This window comes from Homo sapiens, chromosome 11 (assembly GCF_000001405.40).
Source record: "Homo sapiens chromosome 11, GRCh38.p14 Primary Assembly".
Classification (NCBI taxonomy): Eukaryota; Metazoa; Chordata; class Mammalia; order Primates; family Hominidae; genus Homo; species Homo sapiens.
In genome coordinates this window covers 130,107,223-130,130,857 of record NC_000011.10, presented here as the reverse complement: position 1 = coordinate 130,130,857, position 23,635 = coordinate 130,107,223, and the positions used below count along the sequence as shown (strand labels likewise).

The 23,635-nt window shown below is 41.9% G+C and overlaps 1 protein-coding gene and 1 pseudogene across 39 annotated transcripts in view, besides 3 other annotated features; one reads left to right on the top strand and one right to left on the bottom strand.

Annotated features, from left to right (window-relative positions):
- Positions 1-23,635, bottom strand: part of APLP2 (amyloid beta precursor like protein 2) — a 74,912-nt gene that overhangs the window by 13,948 nt on the left and 37,329 nt on the right. For 7 of the 39 annotated variants that reach the window (NR_168388.1, NM_001642.3, NM_001382527.1 and 4 more), the window contains exons 2-11: positions 21,256-21,429; positions 20,197-20,320; positions 10,040-10,152; positions 9,048-9,244; positions 8,345-8,553; positions 7,079-7,246; positions 4,028-4,158; positions 3,018-3,092; positions 1,652-1,810; positions 692-820 (exon numbers count right to left, since the gene is read on the bottom strand). Coding sequence is in view for 30 of the 39 variants with exons in the window: in NM_001642.3 (NP_001633.1) it covers positions 692-820; positions 1,652-1,810; positions 3,018-3,092; positions 4,028-4,158; positions 7,079-7,246; positions 8,345-8,553; positions 9,048-9,244; positions 10,040-10,152; positions 20,197-20,320; positions 21,256-21,429 (1,479 nt within the window). In the remaining 9 variants the exon portion in view is untranslated. Of the gene's footprint in view, positions 1-691; positions 821-1,651; positions 1,811-3,017; positions 3,093-3,382; positions 3,565-4,027; positions 4,159-7,078; positions 7,247-8,344; positions 8,554-9,047; positions 9,245-10,039; positions 10,153-20,196; positions 20,321-21,240; positions 21,430-23,635 lie in introns of all 39 variants that reach the window. The other 32 variants (NM_001328682.2, NM_001142277.2, NM_001328685.2 and 29 more) reach the window with 21 other exon arrangements.
- Positions 6,633-7,132: an enhancer, noted in NCBI's record as "H3K4me1 hESC enhancer chr11:129993621-129994120 (GRCh37/hg19 assembly coordinates)". NCBI's record gives its function as "activates a minimal SCP1, AML or CMV promoter by ChIP-STARR-seq in naive H9 embryonic stem cells {active_cell/tissue: H9 hESC(naive)}" and the evidence as "EXISTENCE:reporter gene assay evidence [ECO:0000049][PMID:30033119]".
- Positions 7,133-7,634: an enhancer, noted in NCBI's record as "H3K4me1 hESC enhancer chr11:129993119-129993620 (GRCh37/hg19 assembly coordinates)". NCBI's record gives its function as "activates a minimal SCP1, AML or CMV promoter by ChIP-STARR-seq in naive H9 embryonic stem cells {active_cell/tissue: H9 hESC(naive)}" and the evidence as "EXISTENCE:reporter gene assay evidence [ECO:0000049][PMID:30033119]".
- Positions 11,889-11,968: an enhancer, noted in NCBI's record as "active region_5750". NCBI's record gives its function as "activates an Ori minimal core promoter by ATAC-STARR-seq in GM12878 lymphoblastoid cells {active_cell/tissue: GM12878}" and the evidence as "EXISTENCE:reporter gene assay evidence [ECO:0000049][PMID:35858748]".
- Positions 16,523-16,691, top strand: LOC124902850 (uncharacterized; annotated as a pseudogene).

Sequence of the window (23,635 nt, the reverse complement as noted above, 5' to 3'; positions counted from 1 at the left end):
TGACAGGCCAGCACCCGTGCAGTAAGTGAGCCCATGTACCCTGACACTCACAATCAGCACAGCACTGTATTTACAATATGAGAGGAAATCAAGTAAGATCAGCGTTGTTACTATAAGGCCCTCTAGGAAAACTAAGGCTGAGCTAGGAGACTTCCTGGTTTAAACGGAAGCTAGCAGTCTTGTAGGCAAGCTCATTTTTATGAATACAAAAAAGTAAAACTCAAGTTAATATATGAACAACACCAATATTAGAAGTAGGAACCAGAAACAAACCTCTGTAGATGAAAGTAAAGCTGGACAAAACCTAGGAATGTAAAAGTGTCTGTCTAAACAAAAACTATACTGCACAAAACAAGAGACCAATTTTTAAGATCTGCTTGATAAATATACCTAGAAAAGGATCTTGAATATTGGTTCTGGCAATACCCTAAATCAGAAATAAATGATATAAAAAATTCAGAAATTGTTTAAGTATAAAGCAGTTAATATAAAAAAGTATTTAAAAAGATGTTTTAAAAACAGTGACCTTGCAAAAACCAGTTCACGTACCGAATGTCTTCGGAAATCAAAACTCATTTTCTAAGGACTAGTAGCAAATGCAACTAGCAGTGCTGGTCAACCATTAGTCAAGGCATTATGTTCCCCACTGGAAATGCCCTCACGGCAGCAATTTCTACTACATCTACTGTACCTGGGATTTCATCTGGGCCGCCTTTTCTGGGTCAACAGCCAACACATGCTGGTAATGACGGATGGTATGTAAGCGATCTTTGTTCTCAGCACGGACATAACGCCGTAAGGCCTGGAGAATGCGATGAGGCTGCAAGAGAGAACAGTTGTTTTAATATCCAGAGACTAGAGAATTGAAAATAGGCAGGAAAACAAAAGCTTAAAAAGTTCACTTAAGAATGTAAAGCTCAGCTAGGCACAAGAATGAAAGCTGTAACTGGAAGGCTTTTTTAGCTTACCAAGTAACAAAAAAACTGTCTAGGTAAAATAGCAAAACTAAGTTCCAAAGTTATACTGGCTCCTTAACATACAGTATTTTCCAGAATCTCCTGCCCACTCCCGTTCTCTTCTGATCTGTCCTTTTTCCTGGCTCAGCCTCTGACACCTATAAGCTAGATAGTCTCCTGTGTCACCCAAAGAGAGAAGACTTTAACCGGCTTACTTAAGGACACAAATATCCTCCCAATACTTTCCATCCCCCAAAGCAAGGCAGGTTAGTGTTAAGGGACAAAATCATTTGAGACCACTCACACAAGAGTTTCAGAAGAAATTACTTTACCCCTTTCTTCATAATCTTATTTATAATGTAACTTGTTCAAAAGTCTTCATGAATAGCATGTTTTCATTCTTTGAAAGGAAGTTCAATAACTGGATAATTACCCATCAATTTCGCGAGGTTATACTTTTCCAGCGTAAAACACTTTCACATCACAGGTGGTATACGCAGGCATAAAGCGATGTCATGCTTAGCTTATATACACAGATATTAGAATGTAATACCTTTTCCTCCCTCATCATCTTTCCTTAGCTTCAGCTTTGCCAGAACTTGTCATACAAATGTCACTTTTACTGACCTGAGTGTCATACATTGGTCCCCTACATATACCACCTCAGGGCAGGCAGTGCTAGGGGCAGGACTCACCCGTGGCGGGTCAGACTGCAAGGCAGCCAGGTAGTTCTCCAGAGCCATCCGACGGCGGTCATTCAGCATAGCTTCCACTCGGGCCAGGTGGGTCTCCACCAGCTGCTGCTTCTCACTGGCTGCTTCCTTCTCTAAAGCTTTAACCATGGCTTGGAAGTGCTAAACCAAGAAAGCAGGAACCACACATGATTTGTGGCACCCAGAGGAAGCCTAAGCAAGCACCCTGAGACCCCAGTGCTTCTCCTGTCAGTGCCCATGCGAGACAGTAACAGGTTCGGAGAGTGGAGCAAGGGTAAGATCCAAAGTCTACTTCATCCTACCTTCATTCTACTTCTATCAGGAGAATTACTTCCTTCTTTAAAGAGAGCAAGTTAAACCTCAGTGTCAAAGGGCCTCCTTAGTATCTGTGTAACTACAAGTGCTAGTGCCTGCAAGCCCAAGGCCTGGTTTCTCAATATGCACTATAAAAAAAGAACACTGTCCTTCCCACATTGCAGCAAGGCACTAACTTCCAAACTCTGAGACCACTGACCAATGGGAGTTATGTGGTAAGTTCTGTTGAAGTATTCCTGTCATTAGGTTAGTGCAAAAGTAATTGTGATTTTTGCCATTACTATCAATAAAGTCATGAAGGGCAAGTTATCCGTGAGGTATCCAGCCAGGTTTACAGGTACAGTTTAAGCCTGCTGAACTACATTTCCCTGAACAAGATGCACTGACTTCTGTAGGAATTAAAACTGTTAGATTTTCTAAGTGATCAATAAAAAAGCCTTTTAAGATTATTTTTAACACTTTATTAAAGTGTTACATTAGGAGGAAAGGCATTTCAGCTAAACATAAAATGATTTAAAATTTACAAAATCAGTTTTGTAAAAACCAAATCAGTCCTGGAAATTGCTATCCCTATTCCTAGCAACACTCTTCTACTGAAGGGGAATGCAGTTTGCTGCTATGATTTTAGTTATAGTCTACAAAGTTAGAGATGAATTGTATCAGAGATCTTTATTTTCTATCCTTTGACTTTCAATTAGTCTTAAAAAAAATTCAGTACTGCTGAAAAACAAGTCACAGTCTAAGACTGAAAATGGCAGAGGACTTTTGCCAGGAAAGCAGAATTAACGAAAGGCAGCTGAGCTAAGGTTACCTTCTGGCATGAATTAGGTGTGCTCTGGTGGGGGTTTGGTTTCCTTCTACCATAGGTTAGCAATACTTGAGGTGAAAAAGAAAAACAGGCCAGTTACAACTTCCTTGTAAGCCCTCACCTAAAAGGAGGTGGTGTCCAATCCTAATTTCGTTGGGAATGGGGCTCTGACCGTATTTTCCAATGGTCAGGCTGAAAGCTATGTCCCCAGAGAAGGCATCTTACCTGAATCAGAGTCTGCCTCTCTGCTTTGGGGAGGTTCTTAGCTTGAAGCTCTGCCTCTTCCCATTCCTTCTTTACCTAGAACAAAGGTCAAAAACGCCGTCAGCAGTGATTAATACCCCGAAACAACTCCTCCATTTGCTAAAAACACTGTCAGATGCTAAATCTCACAGGAAACTGCAAAAGGAAACCAATCACACAATCTCTTAGGAGCTTAGCATTGTTACTGCCTCAGAAGGTTCCAGGCCTCAACTATCCCCAGATGGAGCCTCAATTCCATGACCTCTTTGTTACATAACCTTGAGTAAGTTATTTAAAAGTCTCTGTGCCTTAGTCTCCTCACCAAAAAAATTGAGGTTAATACCTACTTTTCAGAGCTGATGTGGATAAAACAATAAGCATTTTGCAAACTGTAAGCCCAACATGGGACTGTGTGGGATTTGGGGTGGAGCTTAGGCCTAGCAAGGCATTCCCTTTTCAATTCTCTTCAATCCTGAGTAAATCCAGAAGAAAAGTTGCACTTTGGTGTTCCTGCTGCTCTCTTATAACCCTTTTAAAGGAAAAGAAACATCTCTGAGACTCAGAACCTTCCAGAGACAGCAGTATCTAGCTAGCATGTATTAGTACATGTTTGCTTTCATCTAATATATTTGTATGGTTGGTCACTTTCTTCTCACGGCAAATGGTACTAGCTTTTTATTGATAACAGTGATATAAAGTTTCCTTCTTTAAAATAAAGAAATTTTAAAGCAAGTTAATGGCAAAAAAAAAAAAAAAAAGGGCAGATAATGGTATAGGAAGTGCTCAGAGGATAATTATATTATATATTATCTGGATGCAGGTGGTGAAGAAGTCCACCCAGAAGGCAGCTCCACTGGTAACTCTCTCCTGACTCACCAGTCCTTATACATCAGCATGACAATCTAGGGAGAAGCTATTACTTTTCTTCAGCTATGAGAACCATGCTACCCAAAGCCAAGTACCATGAAGATGAAGAAATTGTCAAGGTTTACCCTGTCCATTCGGTTGCGGTGCCGAATCTCCAGCTGCTCCTTAGCCTTCTGGAAGCGAGCATGCTCATTATCATCTGCAGAGGTCTCGAAATACACATCAACATCATTGGTTGGCAGAGGAGTTGGAGGAACTGAAACAAAATTACAGAGGGAGTTCTCTTTGGGATCAGATGCACTGTGCTCTAGGAAGAAAACCCAGCTCAGGACCTGCAGGATGGACTCAATTTGTTTTGTGGCATTCTCTAAGTGCAGGGTGCTGCTATCTGCCAAGACTTCACTTGGTTAGATTACAGTGGGCAATCTTCCTTACACAATATTCATCAACCATGTCAGCCCACGCTAATACAGCAATTTATTGGCAGCTTCAGCACCAGTGAGGCATCTACTTAAGACCTCAGGGCTGAAAAAGAGGTGGTTTCTTCTATACCTTCCCTTCAGTGCTCGAACCCTGGAAACCTAAACAATAGCTACCTTATTGCTCGTAACTGAGCATCTGAACAGAGACAAGGGCAGGAATCAGACCCTGTAGAGGCACTTTTATGCAATTCCTTATTTTTAAAGAAATTTATTACTCAGGTACCTCTGCTCTTCTGGCTATCTTTGAGTCTTAATTTACAACAGAAAACAGGCTCAAGTGAATGTTCTTTGCATATACGCTGGGTAGAGAAAGTCCCCATCACTCCAGCTATAATTTTGAGTTTTCAGTATCAGTGAAGGACTCTTAGCCCCACCATCAGTGACAGAACCAACAAGGATAAAACTGAGTTGCTCTATTTGACAAGGACACCTTTCACCGATATGAAGATAGGGCTTTTTGATCCATGACACTGACCAATAGGGCTTCCCAAGCGTTCCCCAGAGCACAGGCCCATTGGAGCACCCCCGACTGCTGGATGGGCATAATCTCTCATGGGGCCCAAGCAAGTCTCTGCACGATGGAATTTAGCCTGATAAGGGAAAGGACTGAGATGACAAGTTTACTCAGTCAGCCTCTCAAGACATACCTAAGGTAACACTTACTAGCCTAATTCATGCAAGATTTCCCAAGCTGGTGTGGACTTGCTTGATAGATTATGACACAATTTCAGAGCTAAGTGGAGAGTGAATGCCAAGGTTCAACTGATTTTTAATTCAGAAGCAAATTCACCTAATTTCTAGAATTGTATCATTTTAATACATTAAAACAACCATATAATTGATGAATACAGCTACAAATTAGCCAGCCAGTTCAACTTTTTTCTGTCGGAAGCATCTTTTATTTGCCCATTTAACAGACCTAAAAACGACAACTAAAGTCATGAAGAATATGAGCCCTACATAAGTTTTAAAAGGGTGTCAATATCCCACTTTCAGATTAACTAAATTAGAATCGATAACTTGGTAAATGCCATTCCCCAAGACACTCGCAAGTTCAGTGGAGGAGAATTTCAAGCACTGCAGTCCATCATGCGGATCAGTGACACATGCCTGTGCTATAAAGGCCTGAGCGCTGGAGACGGAGCCTTTGGTTCACATTGCTGGACTGGAAAAAGGGAACAGCAAACACAGGCTGCTTCCAGCCTCCCTGGGACCAGAGTGGAGAGGACAGCGGGCCGAAATGCTTTTTTCTGAAGACACCCTCGGTCCCTGTGGAATCACCCACTCATGAAGCCGGCACATCCGCCAGCCTCAGCCCCTTCAAAGAAGAACAAAAACGCTCCCACTGGAAGTAAACTTGATGCTTCTCAACCTGCAAAGCCCTCCAGGCAGAGGCCCCACAAGAACATGAACACAAAGCTTCTCCGAGGCAAATCTCATCCAAGCCACAGCAAACGGGAGTTTTACAGACCTGCCACTCCATCATGTCTCACAGCACCACCCAGCTGACCCTTCGGGTAGAGATCACCACCTCCACACTCAGTGGGATTCCTCAGGCTTCAGTCCAAGTTTTACAAAGCAGTAAGTATCACAATAATTTCTATTTCTAAATCTTTCCTGAAAACGCAAAGTTTATTCACCAAGGTTCCCTAAGGCCTCCTTTTCTTTCACCTTTCAACTGTTACCGAATAAAAACAGCTTTCCTGGAGCTGGAAGGGAAGCACTCAAGGCACTGCCATATTACATTAAGATTTGAAAGATCTTTTGGTAGAAGGAAGGAAGAGGGAACATGAAGGCATGTGAATGAAAAACCGTCAGAAGCTATAGCCAAATTCTTCATAGCAAATTATTACTCCAACAAATTCCAGAGTAGGAACCAAGAAAAACTGTCTGGCCTGAGGATTTTCCTAATGTGTAGGTTAGTGCTGCAAGGTGAGAGACTGAAGGTCTTAACGAGAAAAAGGAGTAGCCATGGAGAAAAGGGAAAACTCTTGGTAGAAACTCTTTCTACCAACGTCCAGCATAAACCCAACTCAACTGAACCACTGACCTTCCTGTCACACCAAAGCACACACCAACTGAAATCCTCTCACTTCCTAAAGCTGTGTGACCCGGTTGCAAAATATTGAAGAAACAGAGTGAGTCACTACCACTTGGCTGCTAGCTCTCTCTAGAGTGCATTATGCAAGATATTTCAATATTCTAGACTGCCCAAAGTACTTCACTGTCACTCCTTTCGAGAGGAGGCGCCCCATGAGCTGGCATGCATCACAGGGGTCAGTGACAGGGCAGTTCAAAGACAGGAATGTTCAGTGCCTCTAAGCTAGAGCCAGCCCAGGGGACAGCTGCCTTCCCCACCAATACTACAGTGGCCTGGGGACCTGCAGACTCCAAAGCCAGACAAGAAAGAACAAGCCCCTGGCTGTGCTGCCCGCTATACCAAGGTGGGTACGCACCATCACCACCAAGCACCACCAGACACACGGTGAGCACAGGACACGAGAACTGAGCTTACCACTGCCGGCAGGAGAGCAAAGCCTAGATCTAGAAAGCACAAAGATGAGGGGAAGACGACCGACAGCAAACACCCGAGTGGGCAGGGACACCACACAGATGCAGCCACGAAGACGGCAGGGAGACGGACGCCAGACAGGACGGTGCTGCCGCACGGGACCAGCGCGAGGCAGGACTTACTCATCGCTTTACACACAGCCATACAATAATCCTCAGACTCAAAATTGTTCCTGTTGCCGCCGCAGCCACCATATATAAAGCGCACGCACTTTCCCTTGGAGAGGTCGAAGTACCAACGAGGCATCACGGCCCGGCAGGGCCCCGTCATCGCCTCCTGGGAGCAGACAGCTGTGTGAAAATGGTCAGAGTGTCAGCAGGACAGAGGCAGTGACGTCAAATGCTTCAAAATGCTACAGGCTGGCGAGCTGGGGGATGGGCTGGGGGAGGCCTGAGACTGGACGGAGCCTGGAGGCCCGGTGGCCGAAAGCTCCAGCTCAGGCCAGCCTTGCTGAGGACAAGTTGCTTCCCCACAGAGTAGAGACATTTAGGAACTGGGATAAATATTTTTTTGGCACCCTCTGGAGTCTAGATCTGAGTTTAGATTGACGTAGAGCAATTCCTTTGTCTCACAGCTGCGAGAGCCTCACATTTCTGATCTGTTCAGTGGAGGTATCTGCCTAGTTTGTCTATTCAGGAGACAGTGTGAGTGGAAAGGCTGCTTTAAGTGGTGATACCCGTAGTAAAGACAAGCACCTAGAACGGACAATTGTTTCCCACTTTTATGTTCTCTAAGGCAAATCACAAACTTCTCAACTGGTTAAGTAATTTCCCCCAACTTGGGTCCTAAATAATTCTTCGCATCTTAATTGGTTTCAAATATACGATCAGCAGGAGGCTGCATGTTAATGGCTCTGGAACTACTGCAACCTTTTCGTGTTTTAATTGGCAAGATGAGAAAAAAAAAAAACTGCAGGCCCCAATCTGTTACCAGCAGGTCAATAAATTTCACCCTCCCAACTAAAACATCTGGACAAATAGGGCAGCCTACAGATTAGAAGACAAGCAGGAAAAGAAAAACCAAGAAAACCATTTCTATTCTAGGAGGCCAGAACTTGAGTGGTATCGAAGAGGGGAGCTCCCCTTGGGGAGGGAACATTTTAGGATGAATGTGGAAGAATCCTGCTGAAGGGCGGACTACGTTGTCTCTCTTACTCTCTAGTCCCCGTTCTCTAATTCAATCCTACATCTCTCCCTGGATGTGCCTGCCTGCCCACTTTGTTAAGACGGCACCATCCCATCACTGCACTGGAGAGCTGAACTCACCTTCAGTGCAGAGGTACCACACCTTTCCTTCTGTGACTGACTTACCTGTGACAGACGCAATGCAAAAGTCTAAGTGAATAATTACCACATGGATTTCAAAGCCATGGCTCTACATGGGGTTACCTTTGACATCATGAGTAATTTCCTTGTCTGACATGGTGCCGTCGCTGCCGGGTTCAGTAGGATTCTCCTCATTGTAGTCATCTCCTTTGAAGGTGTCATAGTAGTAATCTCGGTCCTCCACCACTTCCTCCCCTTCTTCCTCATCCTCATCATCCTCATCCACAGCTGCTTCTGTGAAGTCTTCCAGATCTGCTTCAGTAGGAAATTCACTGAAGGCCAAAATAGAAAAAAAGGAAGGTTAATAGCTCCTATGTGCAAAGCACAACAATGGGTCCCTTCTCTATTCTGAAACACAAAAACAGAGGCAGGAAATAAGCTCAACGCACATTTCACCGTGCCACTAAGCCCTGGGGCCCAGCTACATCAGCAAACGGGAAGTATTTGTGAACATTTGAATCTAATCATGATACAACAATAAGACAAATCCAAATTCAGGGATATTATGTTAAACAAATGACACGGACTCTTAAAAAATATCATAGTAACCTGCAGAAAATAACAGCTCAGAATGATGTAAACACAAAAATCACAGGTACTCCTGTGATTGGCAATGGCTAGAATGAAATGCAAGCTTAATCAACTCTAGCAGAACAAAGGAATGCCCAGTTTATCCAGAAGTGAGGGACTAGCAGCCAACAGCCGTCTTTACAGAAGGGCTAACAAAAAGGCAAAACGACTTCACAGTTCAAAGTAGAAGAGTTACCTTTTATAAACATCATAGTCTTCCTCTTCATCTTCCTCTTCCTCTTCCTCTTCATCTTCCTCTTCCTCTTCTTTTGACACAGATCCAATAATCTTTGTCTGAGGGCAGCACACATATTCAGTGCCATGGAACTGGTCTACCCCACATGGGAGCAGCATGCCGTAGCTATATAAGGTCATTCCCTGAGTCAGACATGCCTAAAAGAAACCCACAGGCCACATCAGAACATACTCCAGAGTAAACGTGGTCAAATACACTCCGATCTCTACCCTCCAAAATAAACCCTTATCAAATCACTTAGCAATGCTTTCTCTTATGAACACATACATTTTCTGTCAAAAAAAAATTGTAATAATATTATTGTAAGATTTATAAATTTTAATTTACAATGGGGAAACATGATCTGGTCCAAAAATACTGAAATCCCAAATGTGGAAAAAAGTCAGGAAGAGAGCATTTTTTTCTAATAATGACTAAAGCCAGATAAGGTGGTCAATGTTAATAGATACTCACCACTGGTGCAAGCACTACTTCAGTATTTGACCAAAGGAAGATTACTGACCAAAGAGCAGAGCCAGCCTAATTACAGAAGACAAGAAAGGGTACTTCTTGCCACCAGAAAAGTGAGATGGCATGCAGTCCTGCCTGTGCATATGTCCAGACCTATATTTTCTATCACTGGCGATTTCCATGCCGGCCTTAGGGTTAGGATGGTTTCCTGGGAGCCTCACCAGCAGCATACAGTATTCTCGCTCAGCCACCTCCTTAACATCCTCAACTTCAGGAGCTGACTGTCAACACTGAGCTCTCCTACACAAATACCTACTTCTCTCCCAAATATTTCTAACTTATAAGACAGAAGTAATTGTAAACCTTAAGGAGATAATGGGGGAAACATAACTAACTTAAAAGCATGGTGAGATTTGGAGAAAAGTGCTACTTCCCTCCTAACAGATACAACAGCAGCTGACTTTCCCCCCGAGTTCTCTTACCTCTTTGACTACCGTGTGCCAGTGCTGGTGATTCTCACACACCTCCATCCGCTCTTTGTGGAAAAACTGGCACTTTTCTGGAACTAGCAGGACATCACTTACAAATTCACCCACTGGAAAAGAGAATCTTTGTCAGAGCGGATCTGACCATGATTTCAAGGTGAAAATGCCCCTCACTGAAGTTTATGATGATAGTCTACACAGCCAGGAGCAGTCTCATGTATACGAGCAGATGCACATCTCGTACCTTCAAAGGCTGACTGGATGGTACAGTTCTAGCCAAGCAGCCACAAGAACTCACCAATCTGTCAGAGCCATGATGCCAGGGACCTTTTAAAAGCCCCCTGACTGCAGTCCCACTGCAGGGCTACAGCAACACGTGACGGGGAATATAATAGGATCACCTCCATGCCCGCCTCAGACACACACAGCTACTCTCCCCACATGGCTCTGCCTTCCTTATTCCTGCCCACACCTCTGTAATCAAATGCCCAAGAAACTAAAACCAGGTGTTCTACTCAAGTACAGATGAATCTTTAGACAAAACATGATGTAATAATTGAATCCAGTAAGAATAATCAATGATTAATTACAAAGGGGCAAAGGTGTCTTTACGGTGGGAAGCCTTGGCAAACTACCTCAGCCAGATAACCAATTTAACACCACTGATAACGAGCAAACTGGTGTGTGTGATGTCCTAAAAATAATATATCACCTACACAGTATTTCTGCCAAAATATATTATCATTTGAATCTAATCATGCTAAAACACTAAGACAAATCCAAACTCAGGGACATTACATTAAACAAATGGCATGGACTCTTAAAAAATATCATTGTCATGAAAGTTTTTGTTTCTAAAGAAAGACTAGGGAACTATCCTAGATGAAATGTAGTATGTGATCCTTTTAAAAAGGAAGCTATAAAAAACACTAGTTGGACACTTAGGAAAATTTCCAAACATGACAACTGTATTGTCATTATATATAGAAGAATGTCCCTGGCTCTTAGGAGAAACCAGCTGAAATACTTAGAAATGAACTGTCGTGATATCCCAACTTACTTTCAAATGGTTTAGCAACACAAAAATATACATATAAGATGCAGAGAGAGAAAAACATCAGGTAAAACTGGAGAATCTAGGTAAAGGGTACAGAGATATTCACTATTACATTTTCTAAAACTTGTCCCAAAAAGTCGGGAGAAAGATACACATAGCTGTTTATTTACAGGGAAAAGATGGTATGTGATTTGTTTCCAAATAATCAGGGTTGTGAGGGAGTGGGCCTATAGAAGGTGGAAGAGTGGCTCATGAACTGATGGTGGTTACAAAGCTGGGCAACCAGTACGTGAGGGTGAACGGTATCATCGTCTCTTGTTTGGCCATGTTTGTAATTTGCCACAATAAAAAGTTAGAAATATACAACACATCACTGGATGATCACCCCAAGACTCTGATCAGTAGTGTAAGGTAAGGCTCAGTAATCTACACTGGGCATACGTCTGCCATGTGCTCCACACAGTGTAGAGGGAGAGGAAGAGAGGGCGAGAAGGGTGCTTAGCCCAGGAAGAGATGCAGGAAGCAGTGGCAGGAAGATGCAGCTGGCAGACTAACCTCTGAGGTTAAGGGGGGAAAACCCTGAAAATATCATGAGAAAGTAATGTGGTCTAAGAAAGGGCTTAGGGCCCAGCTAGTGGGAAGTCTACACAGACCCACCCAGCCTCGCCATCATGGATGAGTCTCTCAGGATCCTCTGCCTTGGGCCTCGGGCGCAAGCACTGAAGTCAGTCTTTCTACCGCCCCAGTGGTAAGAGAAAGGGAGTTGCTGATGTGTAAGTAGGGGAAGATGGGCTCCTGACATGACAAGCTGTAGCAGTGTAACAGTCCCCCCACATGAAAACTGCATTACAAATGGCAGTCAGGTTTCTCAGCACTGCTAGCACAGGGACTTTGGGATCACACAGCTCAATGTGACACTGAAGCAGGATTGCGAAAGTGAGCCTGACATGCTGCTTACCCTTGAGGACCCCAAAGGCTCTAGGGGAGGCAGTACCTGCAAACAGGCTTTAGCAATCAACGAGACTTAAAAGCATTGCTTAAAAATAGCAAAAATACCAACAGTAAGCTAGAATCTGCCTCTACGAGAATGAACAACCCTGATACTCAATCTAAGTAGAAATTACTTCAATTCTGACATCCAACCACCAACTCACATGGTTTAATGTGATTATTCTGAATTAACTAGGCTGTTTTTGTTCATTTATGACAAAAAGCAACAAAAGTGGATGCTAAAGGAAAAGTATATGCAGGGTTGAATGCTAGGGTTCAATCTCAGCACTGTCATTTACTAGCAGAGTAACCTTAGCCAAGTTACTTAACCTTTCTGTCCCTCGGTTTCTTTATCTTGTGGGGACTAAATGACATAATCTATACAACAAGAAAAGCTTAGAACAGAAACTATTGTTCCACATGTGGGTTTGTTGTTTAAAATAAAAACAGAAACTGACACCTGGTAGGCACTATTGATGTTAATGTTAGTGAAGTCTTGAGGAACTAGTTTTATACGAACTATTCAACCATACTCATAAAGCAATGTATATTTAAGCAACAGTTAATGCACTTTAATTTGTAAAACCTCACTTTTAAATGTGCAACTGCAACATCAAAAAAATTTAAAGCAGCAATTTCACTACTAATCTATATTCTATAGAAACACAACAACTATTTTTTTTTTTTTTTTTGAGATGGAGTCTCGCTCTGCTGCCCAGGCTGGAGTGCAGTGGCGCAATCTCAGCTCACTACAAACTCTGCCTCCCGGGTTCAAGTGATTCTCCTGCCTCAGCCTCCCAAGTAGCTGGGACTACAGGCACGTGCCACCACGCCCGTCTAATTTTTTTGTATTTTTAGTAGAGAGACGGGTTTTCACCATGTTAGCCAGGATGGTCTCGATCTACTGACCTTGTGATCCACCCCGGCCTCGGCCTCCCCAAGTGTTGGGATTACAGGCGTGAGCCACTGCGCCTGGTCAGAAATACAACCTTTAACTCAATCTATACAACACCTTGGATAAACTAAAAAATGATGTAAAGTAAAAGCAAGCTGTAAAAGGTCAGGTACAGTATGATGCCATTAATGTAAATTTTAAAACACAAAAACATTGTTTATAGATGCATGTAAATGTTGCAAAAGAACTGAGACCAGCCTGGCCAGCATGGTGACACCCCACCTCTACTAAAAATACAAAAATTAGCCAGGCATGGTGGCATGCACCTGTAATTCCAGCTACTCAGGAGGCTGAGGTTGCAGTGAGCCGAGATCATGCCACTGCACTCCAGCCTGGGCAAGAGACTCCGTCTCAGAAAAAAAAAAAGATGGAGATGAAGCAAACATGACAGAACACTGAAGAACTGAAATCAGGAGGGTGAGCATATGAGCAACCATCACATTATGTCTCATCTCTTCAGGATGCTTGGTGTAATATTTCAGAATTAAAGTTTAAAATCAAAACCTTTTCGGAAATGCCAAAAATTTAATAAAATAATTAATTCCATGCTAAACCATAAAATTAAATGCCACTAATCTTCAGCTATTCCATGACTGAATCAATCTGTTCGATCTCTAAAAATCAAAAAAGAACACCACTGAATTTGAAAACAAACTAAATTCTAAAATTTAACTTTTTTTTTTAAGATGGAGTCTCACACCATCACCCAGGCTGGAGTACAGTGGCACAATCTTGGCTCACTGCATCCTCTGCCTCCCAGGTTCAAGCAATTCTTCTGCTTCAGCCTCCTGAGTAACTGACATTACAGGCGTTCGCCACCACACCCAGCTAATTTTTACTATTTTTAGTAGAGACGGGGTTTCACCGTGTTGGTCAGGCTGGTCTTGAACTCCTGATCTCAAATGATCCTCCCATCCCAGCCTCCCAAAGTGCTGTGATTACAGGCATAAGCCACCAGGCCTGGCCTAAAAATATATATATATATCTTTTAACAGTACTCTTTGATTCAACAATTCCAGTTCTAAAAAGATACCCTAAGGATGTCTGGACGCAGGGGCTCATGCCTGTAATCCCAGCACTTTATGAGGCTGAGGCAGGTGGATCACTTGAGGTTAGGAGTTCAAGACCAGCCTGGCCAACATGGGGAAACCCCATCTCTACTAGAAATAGTAAAAATGAGCCAGGCGTGGTGGCGAATGCCTGTAATCTCAGCTGCAGGGTGGAAAGGGGGACACGCAGGACCAAGGCCGCAGTCAGCCAAGATCGCGCCACTGCACTCCAGCCTGGGTGACGGCGACCCTGTCTTAAAAAGAAAAAGAAAAAAAGAAAAAGATACACACCCTAAGGAAATAACTAGGCAAGTGAATTAAAATATTCATTAGTGTTATTAATATCAAAAAACTAGAACAAACCTAAATGTCCATCGAGAGGGAATTAATTAAATGATGATACATATATACAACAGAATAGTATGGGGTTACAAGAAATATGGCTTATGTGTATATTTAACATGGACATTTTTCCATGGTGGTTTAATAATTTTTAAAATCATTGAACAAACAAACAAAAGGAAACCCACTGCGTATCTCTAACCCCTTCTTCAGGCTAGTTACTTAAGGCCAACTTTATCTTTTTTTTTTCTCCCAACCTTATCTTTTATTCAAAGATGTATGTATCCCTAAAAGTAGCACATGATAATAAAAGCTCAATAAATGCCAAATAAAAATAAACAGAACTTTAAACAGAGGAGCATACGTTGTATCATCACAGTTAGGGAAAAAACATTTAAAAGTATATACATTTCCATGTGTATCCAAAGAAAAAAATGTTCATCTATACCCCAAAATGTTAATCACAGTTAACTTAGTACAGAAACTGAAAATAATTGTTTTTGTCCCCTTCCCCCAATGCAAACTTCTTTTATTGAAAAATAAACCCCTTTTTAAAAAGTAGACTGAAAGAGGAAACACATTTCAATCCCAGCATCCGCTCTATCATTTCATTGCTACTCTCTGCCTTTGCTACAATTTTTCATCAGAAGCTCCTAGGGAAAAAAATTTACCTAGGCAGATCAGTATTACTCTGTTTTACAGAACATTGAAAATGGTTTGCTCTCACTTTAGTAATTTATATTCAAGCTGGTAACATCCTCAATTTTATCAGCGGAGTATAATATAATTGCCACAATTTCCTAAGTCACTGGACAAACATAAAGCTCTACTGTTTTTGCTGATCAATGAATATGGCAATATAGCAAAACCTAACCTATACAATATTCATTTAAGCTGCAGTTAGGATTTATCGCCAATTTCTAATCATCCCTGTGATTCAGCTTTTCTTTCCTACTACTTCTCTCCAGCAGTGCTATGGCAGCCATCCAGGTTTTAGAGCTTTTTCAGAGTTGCTGAAATTCCTTTCAGAATAAATAACAAAGGTTGTTTACCTACTTGAGGAAGCCTCCAACACCAACACCCATGCATATAAGTAAATCTACTACATACCCTGACATGACTATTACACACTATATGCCTGTATCAAAATATCTCGTGTACTCCATAAATACAGACACCTACTATATACCCACAAAAATTAAAAATTAAAAAAATAATAATAAATATACTACAAAAGTACACTCCAGGTGCAAACAGGAAAACCATGTAATTTAGGGAGCTGGTAAAAGCTGTACCCAGGTGGGAGAAAACAGCCTTATGTAATGAGGTCTGGTGGTCACCCCAGGTATGTTTCAGGGAAAACAGGGTTCAGAGAAGTGAAGGATCCACGCTACCTCTCGAGAGTGGAACATTCACCTTGCACAGGGGTCCACACCAGGAACAGGGTGAACTGTCAGTGGCTGTCATGAACTCAAAGGCTAGAAGACTTGCAAAAGGACACCTGCAATGGAAAAGTGAGCTATGCCAACAGACCAAGGTACAAATGCAGAAGACAGCACCTCAAAGCTGCCGAGACCAGTTTTGTTTTCAAAGTAGATATTAAATCAGAACTTTAGTAGTTTTCATATCGCAATAACACTACCTGTCCAAATCTCTGTCCAAAAATAACCAAAAACAAAAAACAAATCACCTAAGGCCCAGATCTGGGTTTCAAAATAGCATTCCCCACTAAAAGAAACCATGGTGTCTCAGAGAAAACAGACTCCAGGAGTGGAGTAGGGAAAATACAGAATGGACTTGGAGAATCTTTTGTATCAGAAAGTAAAGTTCTCAAAGAATGATAGGGACATGTTATAAGGACACAGGAACCAGCATAACGGGGCCCCCACTGGCCAAATGCAGACAATGTGTACATAGTAAGACAAATGAATGTAGATACCATCTTAGCCAGGTGATGAAACAAACTGGTATCGCACTACTCCTGCTATGATGCAGTGAGAACCCTTCTGTGATACTCCCCTCAAAAATGAATAAATCAAAAGGATCACAGAAAAACACAAATTGCAAGGCATTCTATAAAGGAACTGAGCTTTGTGCAGTGGCAGTATCGTAGCCAGTGAGGTTTATCGGAGGCGTGATCACTGCTAATTGAAAACTTTTCTATAAAGGAACTGGTCTGTAGTTAAAAAAAAAAAAATCAATGTCACAAAGGACAAGGAAATATGCAACATGTAATCTTAGATTAGATCCTGGATGTTATTAGAACAACAGGTGAAACCTGAGTAGGGTCTGTAGATGAGATATTGGATCAACTAGATATTGTCTACAAAATCTTGATTTTTGATGATTATACCACGGTTACGTAGGAGAATTTCCTTGCTTTTTAAAAATACACACTGTAGTATTAAGGCATAAGGATACCATGTTTGCCTTATTGCCAAATGATTCAAAAAACAACAAACCTCGAGTATGTGTGTGAGGGGTACTGGGAAGGGAGAATAAGATTTTTTACCACATTGATCAAATGTTAACAGTTGGAAAATCTGAAATCTGGGTGAAGGGTACACAGAGGAACTCTGTGCCATTTTTGTAACCATTCTGTAAATTTGAAATTATTTTTAAACTATTATTTTTTAATTTAAAAAAGCAATAGCAACTCTAAAAGACTATCATCAAAAGGCTTTCTAAGGAGTCTATGGGGGGAAAAGGTGGTGGCCATTATTAACTGAATGATGTCAGTTCTGCCTGGGTGCTCGAAGTGGAGGTGACAGCGGAAGGGGCAGGGAGACATCAAAATCTAACTGATAAGGGAGAACTGCAATATGTCTTTCCTACTCCCTCCCTTAAACTCCAGTCATGTCACCCCTTATTCGTTTAGGCTCAGGCAACTGTGCTTATGTAAAAATATCAATGGATAGCTCTACCGACTGGTTACTAAGTTGTCCAAATGGATGCTGGGGTAAACATGAATAACCGTCTGAAGTAACACCAAAGATTGTATAATGCTTTATTCAGTGACCACAATGCAAAGAAGGTACCAAATGGATTATGGTTAAACTGTCTTTTATGCATTTCATTAACGACAATACTATTGCTTGGTTCTGTAACATGCTAACAAATTTAAACTCTATCATTTGGGAAATAAAGCAATAAAATAAAATTTCTGTTGTGTACCAACTATAGTAGTATTTTTGTGTTGTAATTATCGTAAACAGTATATCCGATATTCTAGGCACTACCATGGTGCTGAGGTTGACAAAAAAGACTAAAACAGGGTCGCTGCTGGCAAGGTGTTCACAGCATAGTTGGAGAAAGGTCTATGAACAATCATGGTACAGTGTGATAAGTGCGATGGCAACAGCAAGGAGTATTACAGAAACCTGGATGAATGGATAGAAAATAAGACCAGGAAAGGCTCCCTTTAAAGGAGGCAACTCCTGAGGTAAGCCTTGCAGGAAGAACTTCCCAAGCAAAGTCAGCAGAGGAAAGCCATTCCAAATGCTGAGAGCTGGATGGTGCACGACCACCCTGGGGTGGTCGATGCTGATAAAACCTAAAGCATGACATCACAGAGAACAGGGGAGAGTTGAGCAAGGGCCAGATCATGGAGTTTTGAAGCCACGCTAAGGAGTTTCAACATTCTTTTTTAAGATTTTGTGCATGAGAGACATGATTTGGTCTTCATTTTCAATCTGCAGGCAACAGATTGGACAGCCAGCACTGAGAAACAGCATGGAGGCTGCTCTCGGCCCAGACAAGAACTGACCACAGGCTGAGCTAGGGCAGTGGGAATCTGATGCAGGAAGAGGACACAAGCCAGCGATAACCACATTTTCGACTCACAGCACCCTGAGTGTCTTAGGAACTTTTTCACAGGATTCCTAGGCTAAAAAAAGTACCGAAAAGTTAAGTAGTTAGACCCAACAACTTAATAAGTACTGTGTCCTGTCACCTTAGACCCAACAACTTAATAAGTACTGTGTCCTGTCACCTTAGTGCCCAGTGGGCCCTGCACATCTCCCCCAACTGCAATCAGACTGAACACCATCACCCTCATTTCTTTTTCAGCGATTTTCAAAAGATACTTGCTTTTTATCACAGGAATAACTAAAAACAGCTTCACAGAGATATGAAGTCATCAAAATAAATGAAATGATGTCATGATGAAACTGTAAATTACTTCCAGCTAGTAGTTTGCAGAATGCCTGACAGATGTCATTACATTTCCCTTGAAAAATCAGAAACATCCCGGAATGCCCTGTGAGTTTTGCTTCAATGCCCCGAGGTGCCTCGGCGCACAGTTTGAAAATCATGACTATAAGCCTATTTAAGAAGTAAGTATGAGGCTGGCTCAGAAACTGACCGCATACAGGGAGATAAAGGATAACAAAAGAATCGAAGAGTCTCCCAGGTCCCACTCAGATGTCTGGGTGGGGAGTGAAGCTGGAAGGTGACAAGGACAAACAAGAGGAGATAATCAGGCTGCAAAGTCTTTAGGGGGAGCAATGCAGAAGGAACGATTTCAAGCACTTTCTATCCACTGTCTACAAATATTCCAGGATAATCTCATTTCACTTTTAGTTTGAGAACTTTTTTAACGAGCAAATGAAGCCTCATACCTAGAGATTTCTCAGAGCCAAACAGAACAGAAAGCGTCCTTAAACCACACCACACAACATTTTTAACAAGCCTCCCAGCCTTGAGATGCCCAGGTTTAAAGTAAACGGTGGTAAGCACACATGACGCCCCTCTTGCTCCTCACGAATATTTTAAAAGAAAGTTAACTGCCACACATTTTAAACACTGTTGTTCAGGGGCACCGCTTCTTCCTGTGGCTTGGCTACACGTGAGAATGAGAAAAAGTATCACATTCCATTTTGCTGCCATCAGAAGCAGAAGGAAAGGTTTTACAGAAGGGAGAGAGGAGAATAAGTTAATAGTTCCAATTACATATAGCTACAGAACCACTCAGGATGTCTACATTAATGCTGTATCTACTTTAATCCCATCAGGGCTAATCTAAAATTGATTTTTTTTTGCCCTTTGAAGTTTCTGTGACCAAATCTGTTCCTGAATCACCAGACCACAGATATGTGAGTGTAATTCCAATGTATCAGGCACAAATAGTTAAAATGAATATATTCCCTGAGCATTTGAAGCAACAACTCTGTTTCTGCATAACAAACAGTTACCGTTTTACTCAAATTGGCTCTGAATGTTGACACCAGCAACACAGAGTCACGAACACCCCTACCAGCCCCAAACCCTTCAGAATGGCAGGTCCTATAAGCCCTGGCCCCGGTACCCTTGACTGTCCACAGGCTGCCATAAGTCACTTTTCTTTCTCCTGAAAACTAGCAGAAATTTGGTCAAATGGTGCAAACGTGTGTGGGATGAAAGTAAGGGAAACAGAAGACTCTTCTCCTGGGGCTGCTTGCTTTAATACTACTCAGCACTATCACCATAAACCACTGATATCAAACAATGTGAGGGCGTAAGTGCAATTGCTCTGTGGGTAGCACCCTTATTCAGTCCTGAGGAAGGATGTCTACAATGGGAAGGCAGAGTTAGCCATCACTGAGAGGAGGTCAACCACTGACACTCGAAGCCAGCAAACACCCCTAAGAGAAATCCTCCCCAATAAATTCATGTCACACTCAGCTTCTTAACAGGTGTAAATATTTCACTGTGAGCCAAGAGAAAATTAAATTTAAAATGGGAGGGGGCTGGCACTTCCTGAAAAGTAACCAAGAACACTCACCGAGACACTTGAAAGGTGTAACAAAGCGACTCTTGCATTGCTTTTTGTCCCTCCGGCACCAGTTGTCAATACTAACCCGCTGGTTTGCCTCCATCACATTTGTGATCTGTAGCTCTGGATACATCTGTTAAGAAAACAAACACACACACAATAAATCAATCTGCAGACAGACACACACTTGCAAGTAAGGATGGAGTGTCTAAGTTTATTCAGCCTCCACCCTTATCCTACATACATCTAAAGTTCCACTCCATTATCCCTGGCTCTAACTGAAGTCATCAAACAAAAAGATACTGTATTAGTTTTGACAGGTTAGATTTCTGAACACTTCCACGCATTCTGTTTTCAAAAGGGATATGTATTTAAGGACAAACAAAAGCAGCACGCTTTTAGCCCAAAACAAATTCATGAGATGTCAAGTTTGCTTGTAGGGTAGCTGTTGAACTGATGGCTCCGTGAGGCAAGTCTATGGAAACATCTGTCAATGAAATTACAGAACTTGACCCTGGCCCTGTCTGCTCATCTTGGTAAGAAGTGGTGGCTGATGCCTATAATCCCAGCACTTTGGGAGGCTGGGGAGGATGGCTTGAGGCCAGGAGTTTGAGAGTACCCTGGCCAATGTAGCAAGACCCTGTCTCTATCAGAAAAAATAAATACAAGTTATAACATCTCCTATCATTTTCTCTTTAACACAGAGTTGAATCAGACCTGAGATGATCCTTTACAATACTGGTGGCTTTCTGTCAGTAAGGAGACATGTTTTGTTTTCCATCTTCCAAGACAAGTGGGAGGATGAGAAGCAGGCTGCACTCCCATGGCACTTGCCAGGCTTCTGCAGTATCCCTTCCTTAAAGAACTGAGAGCTCACAGAACACGCAGGCAAAGCCTTTGAGAGGTCTCAGTCATGCCACACATTTAGAAACAAAAGGCTTGGGGCTCCAGTCATTAGCATCTTGGTCTTAGGTCAAAAGAGAATGACAGAATATCTATTTCTAAGGTAAACAGATTCAACCCTGCCCCAGAAAAATAACACTTTCAACTTACTGGCAACACTCTTACCTCCTGACAGTACTGAAGAACTTCTTCTTTTGTTTCAAAGCAGCTCTTGGTGCCTGTTGGATCAGGTTCCCATTTCCCAGTCTGAATGTTCACATGCATATTTAACTTCCCACAAAACATTGCGATTTGAGGCTCAGCAACAGCAAATCCTGTTCCGGCATTGGCTGCAAGAGCCTACCAAAGGGAAAAAAATTGCAGGTTTACTCCAAGAAGGCTAGCACAGAGGCAACAGTCATTCAGGTCTATGTGACAGAATGCATCTTTTAAAAACCTTAATTATTTACTATTTGTATCTTCACAAACAAATCCTTTTCCCAGGAGCTAGAACAGAATAAAAAGTGACTTCTGGATGTGTATGATCAAAGTGAAAGGCAAAGGAAAAAACTTTTTTATTTATTTTATTTATTATATTTTAAGTTCTAGGGAACATGTGCACAACGTGCAGGTTTGTTACACAGGTAGACATGTGCCATGTTGGTGTGCTGCACCCATTAACTTGTCATTTACATTAGGTATATCTCCTAATGCTATCCCTCCCCCCTCTCCCCACCCCACGACAGGCCCCAGTGTGTGATGTTCCCCACCCTGTGTCCAAGTGTTCTCATTGTTCAATTCCCACCTATGAGTGAGAACATGCGGTGTTTGGTCTTCTGTCCTTGCGATAGTTTGCTCAGAATGATGCTTTCCAGCTTCATCCAGGTCCCTACAAAGGACATGAACTCAACCTTTTTATGGCTGCATAGTATTCCATGGTATGTGCCATCTCCTTAATCCAGTCTATCATTGATGGACATTTGGGTTGGTTCCAAGTCTTTGCTATTGTGAATAGTGCTGCAATGAACATATGTGTGCATGTGTCTTTATAGCAGCATGATTTATAATCCATTGGGTACATACCGAGTAATGGGATGGCTGGGCCAAATGGTATTTCTAGTTCTAGATCCTTGAGGAATCACCACACTGTCTTCTACAATGGTTGAACTAGTTTAGAGTCCCACCAACAGTGTAAAAGTGTTCCTATTTCTCCACATCCTCTCCAGCACCTGTTGTTTCCTGACTTTTTAATGACTGCCATTCTAACTGGTATGAGATGGTATCTCATTGTGGTTTTGATTTGCATTTCTCTGATGGCCAGTGATGATGAGCATTTCTTCATGTGTCTGTTGGCTGCATAAATGTCTTCTTTTGAGAAGTGTCTGTTCATATCCTTAGCCCACTTGTTGATGGGGTTGATTTTTTCTTGTAAATTTGTTTAAGTTATTTGTAGATTCTGGATATTAGCCCTTTGTCAGATGGGTAGACTGTAAAAATTTTCTCCCAAGGTTGCCTGTTCACTCTGATGGTAGTTTCTTTTGCTGTGCAGAAGCTCTTTAGTTTAATTAGATCCCATTTGTCAATTTTGGCTTTGGTTGCCATTGCTTTTGGTGTTTTAGACATGAAGTCCTTGCCCATGCCTATGTCCTGAATGGTATTGCCTAGGTTTTCTTCTGGGGTTTTTATGGTTTTAAGTCTAACATTTAAGTCTTTAATCCATCTTGAATTAATTTTTGTATAAGGTGTAAGGAAGGAATCCAGTTTCAGCTTTCTACATATGGCTAGCCAGTTTTCCCAGCACCATTTATTAAATAGGGAATCCTTTCCCAATTTCTTGTTTTTGTCAGGTTTGTCAAAGATCAGATGGTTTTAGATGTGTGGTGTTATTTCTGAGGGCTCTGTTCTGTTCCATCGGTCTGTATTTCTGCTTTGGTACCAGTACCATGCTGTTTTGCTTACTGTAGCATTGAAGTATAGTTTGAAGTCAGGTAGCGTGATGCCTCCAGCTTTGTTCTTTTGGCTTAGGATTGACTTGGCAACGCGGGCTCTTTTTTGGTTCCATATGAACTTTAAAGTAGTTTTTTCCAATTCTGTGAAGAAAGTCATTGGTAGCTTGATGGGGATGGCACTGAATCTACAAATTACCTTGGGCAGTATGGCCATTTTCACAATATTGATTCTTCCTATCCATGAGCATGGAATGTTCTTCCATTTGTTTGTGTCCTCTTTTATTTCATTGAGCAGTGGTTTCTAGTTCTCCTTGAAGAGGTCCTTCACATCCCTTGTAAGTTGGATTCCCAGGTATTTTGTTCTCTTTGAAGCAATTGTGAATGGGAGTTCACTCACGATTTGGCTCTCTGTCTGTTATTGGTGTATAGGAATGCTTGTGATTTTTGCACATTGATTTTGTATCCTGAGACTTAGGCAAAGGAAAAATCTAACCCTCAATCCCCATCTGGGATACTTCTAACTTTAGAACATATAATCCAACTGCAGTCTGTCCTCGTAAAAGCTAATCTACTTTCTAATCCTTTGCACACACCAAATCATGAAAGTGGAGAATTAC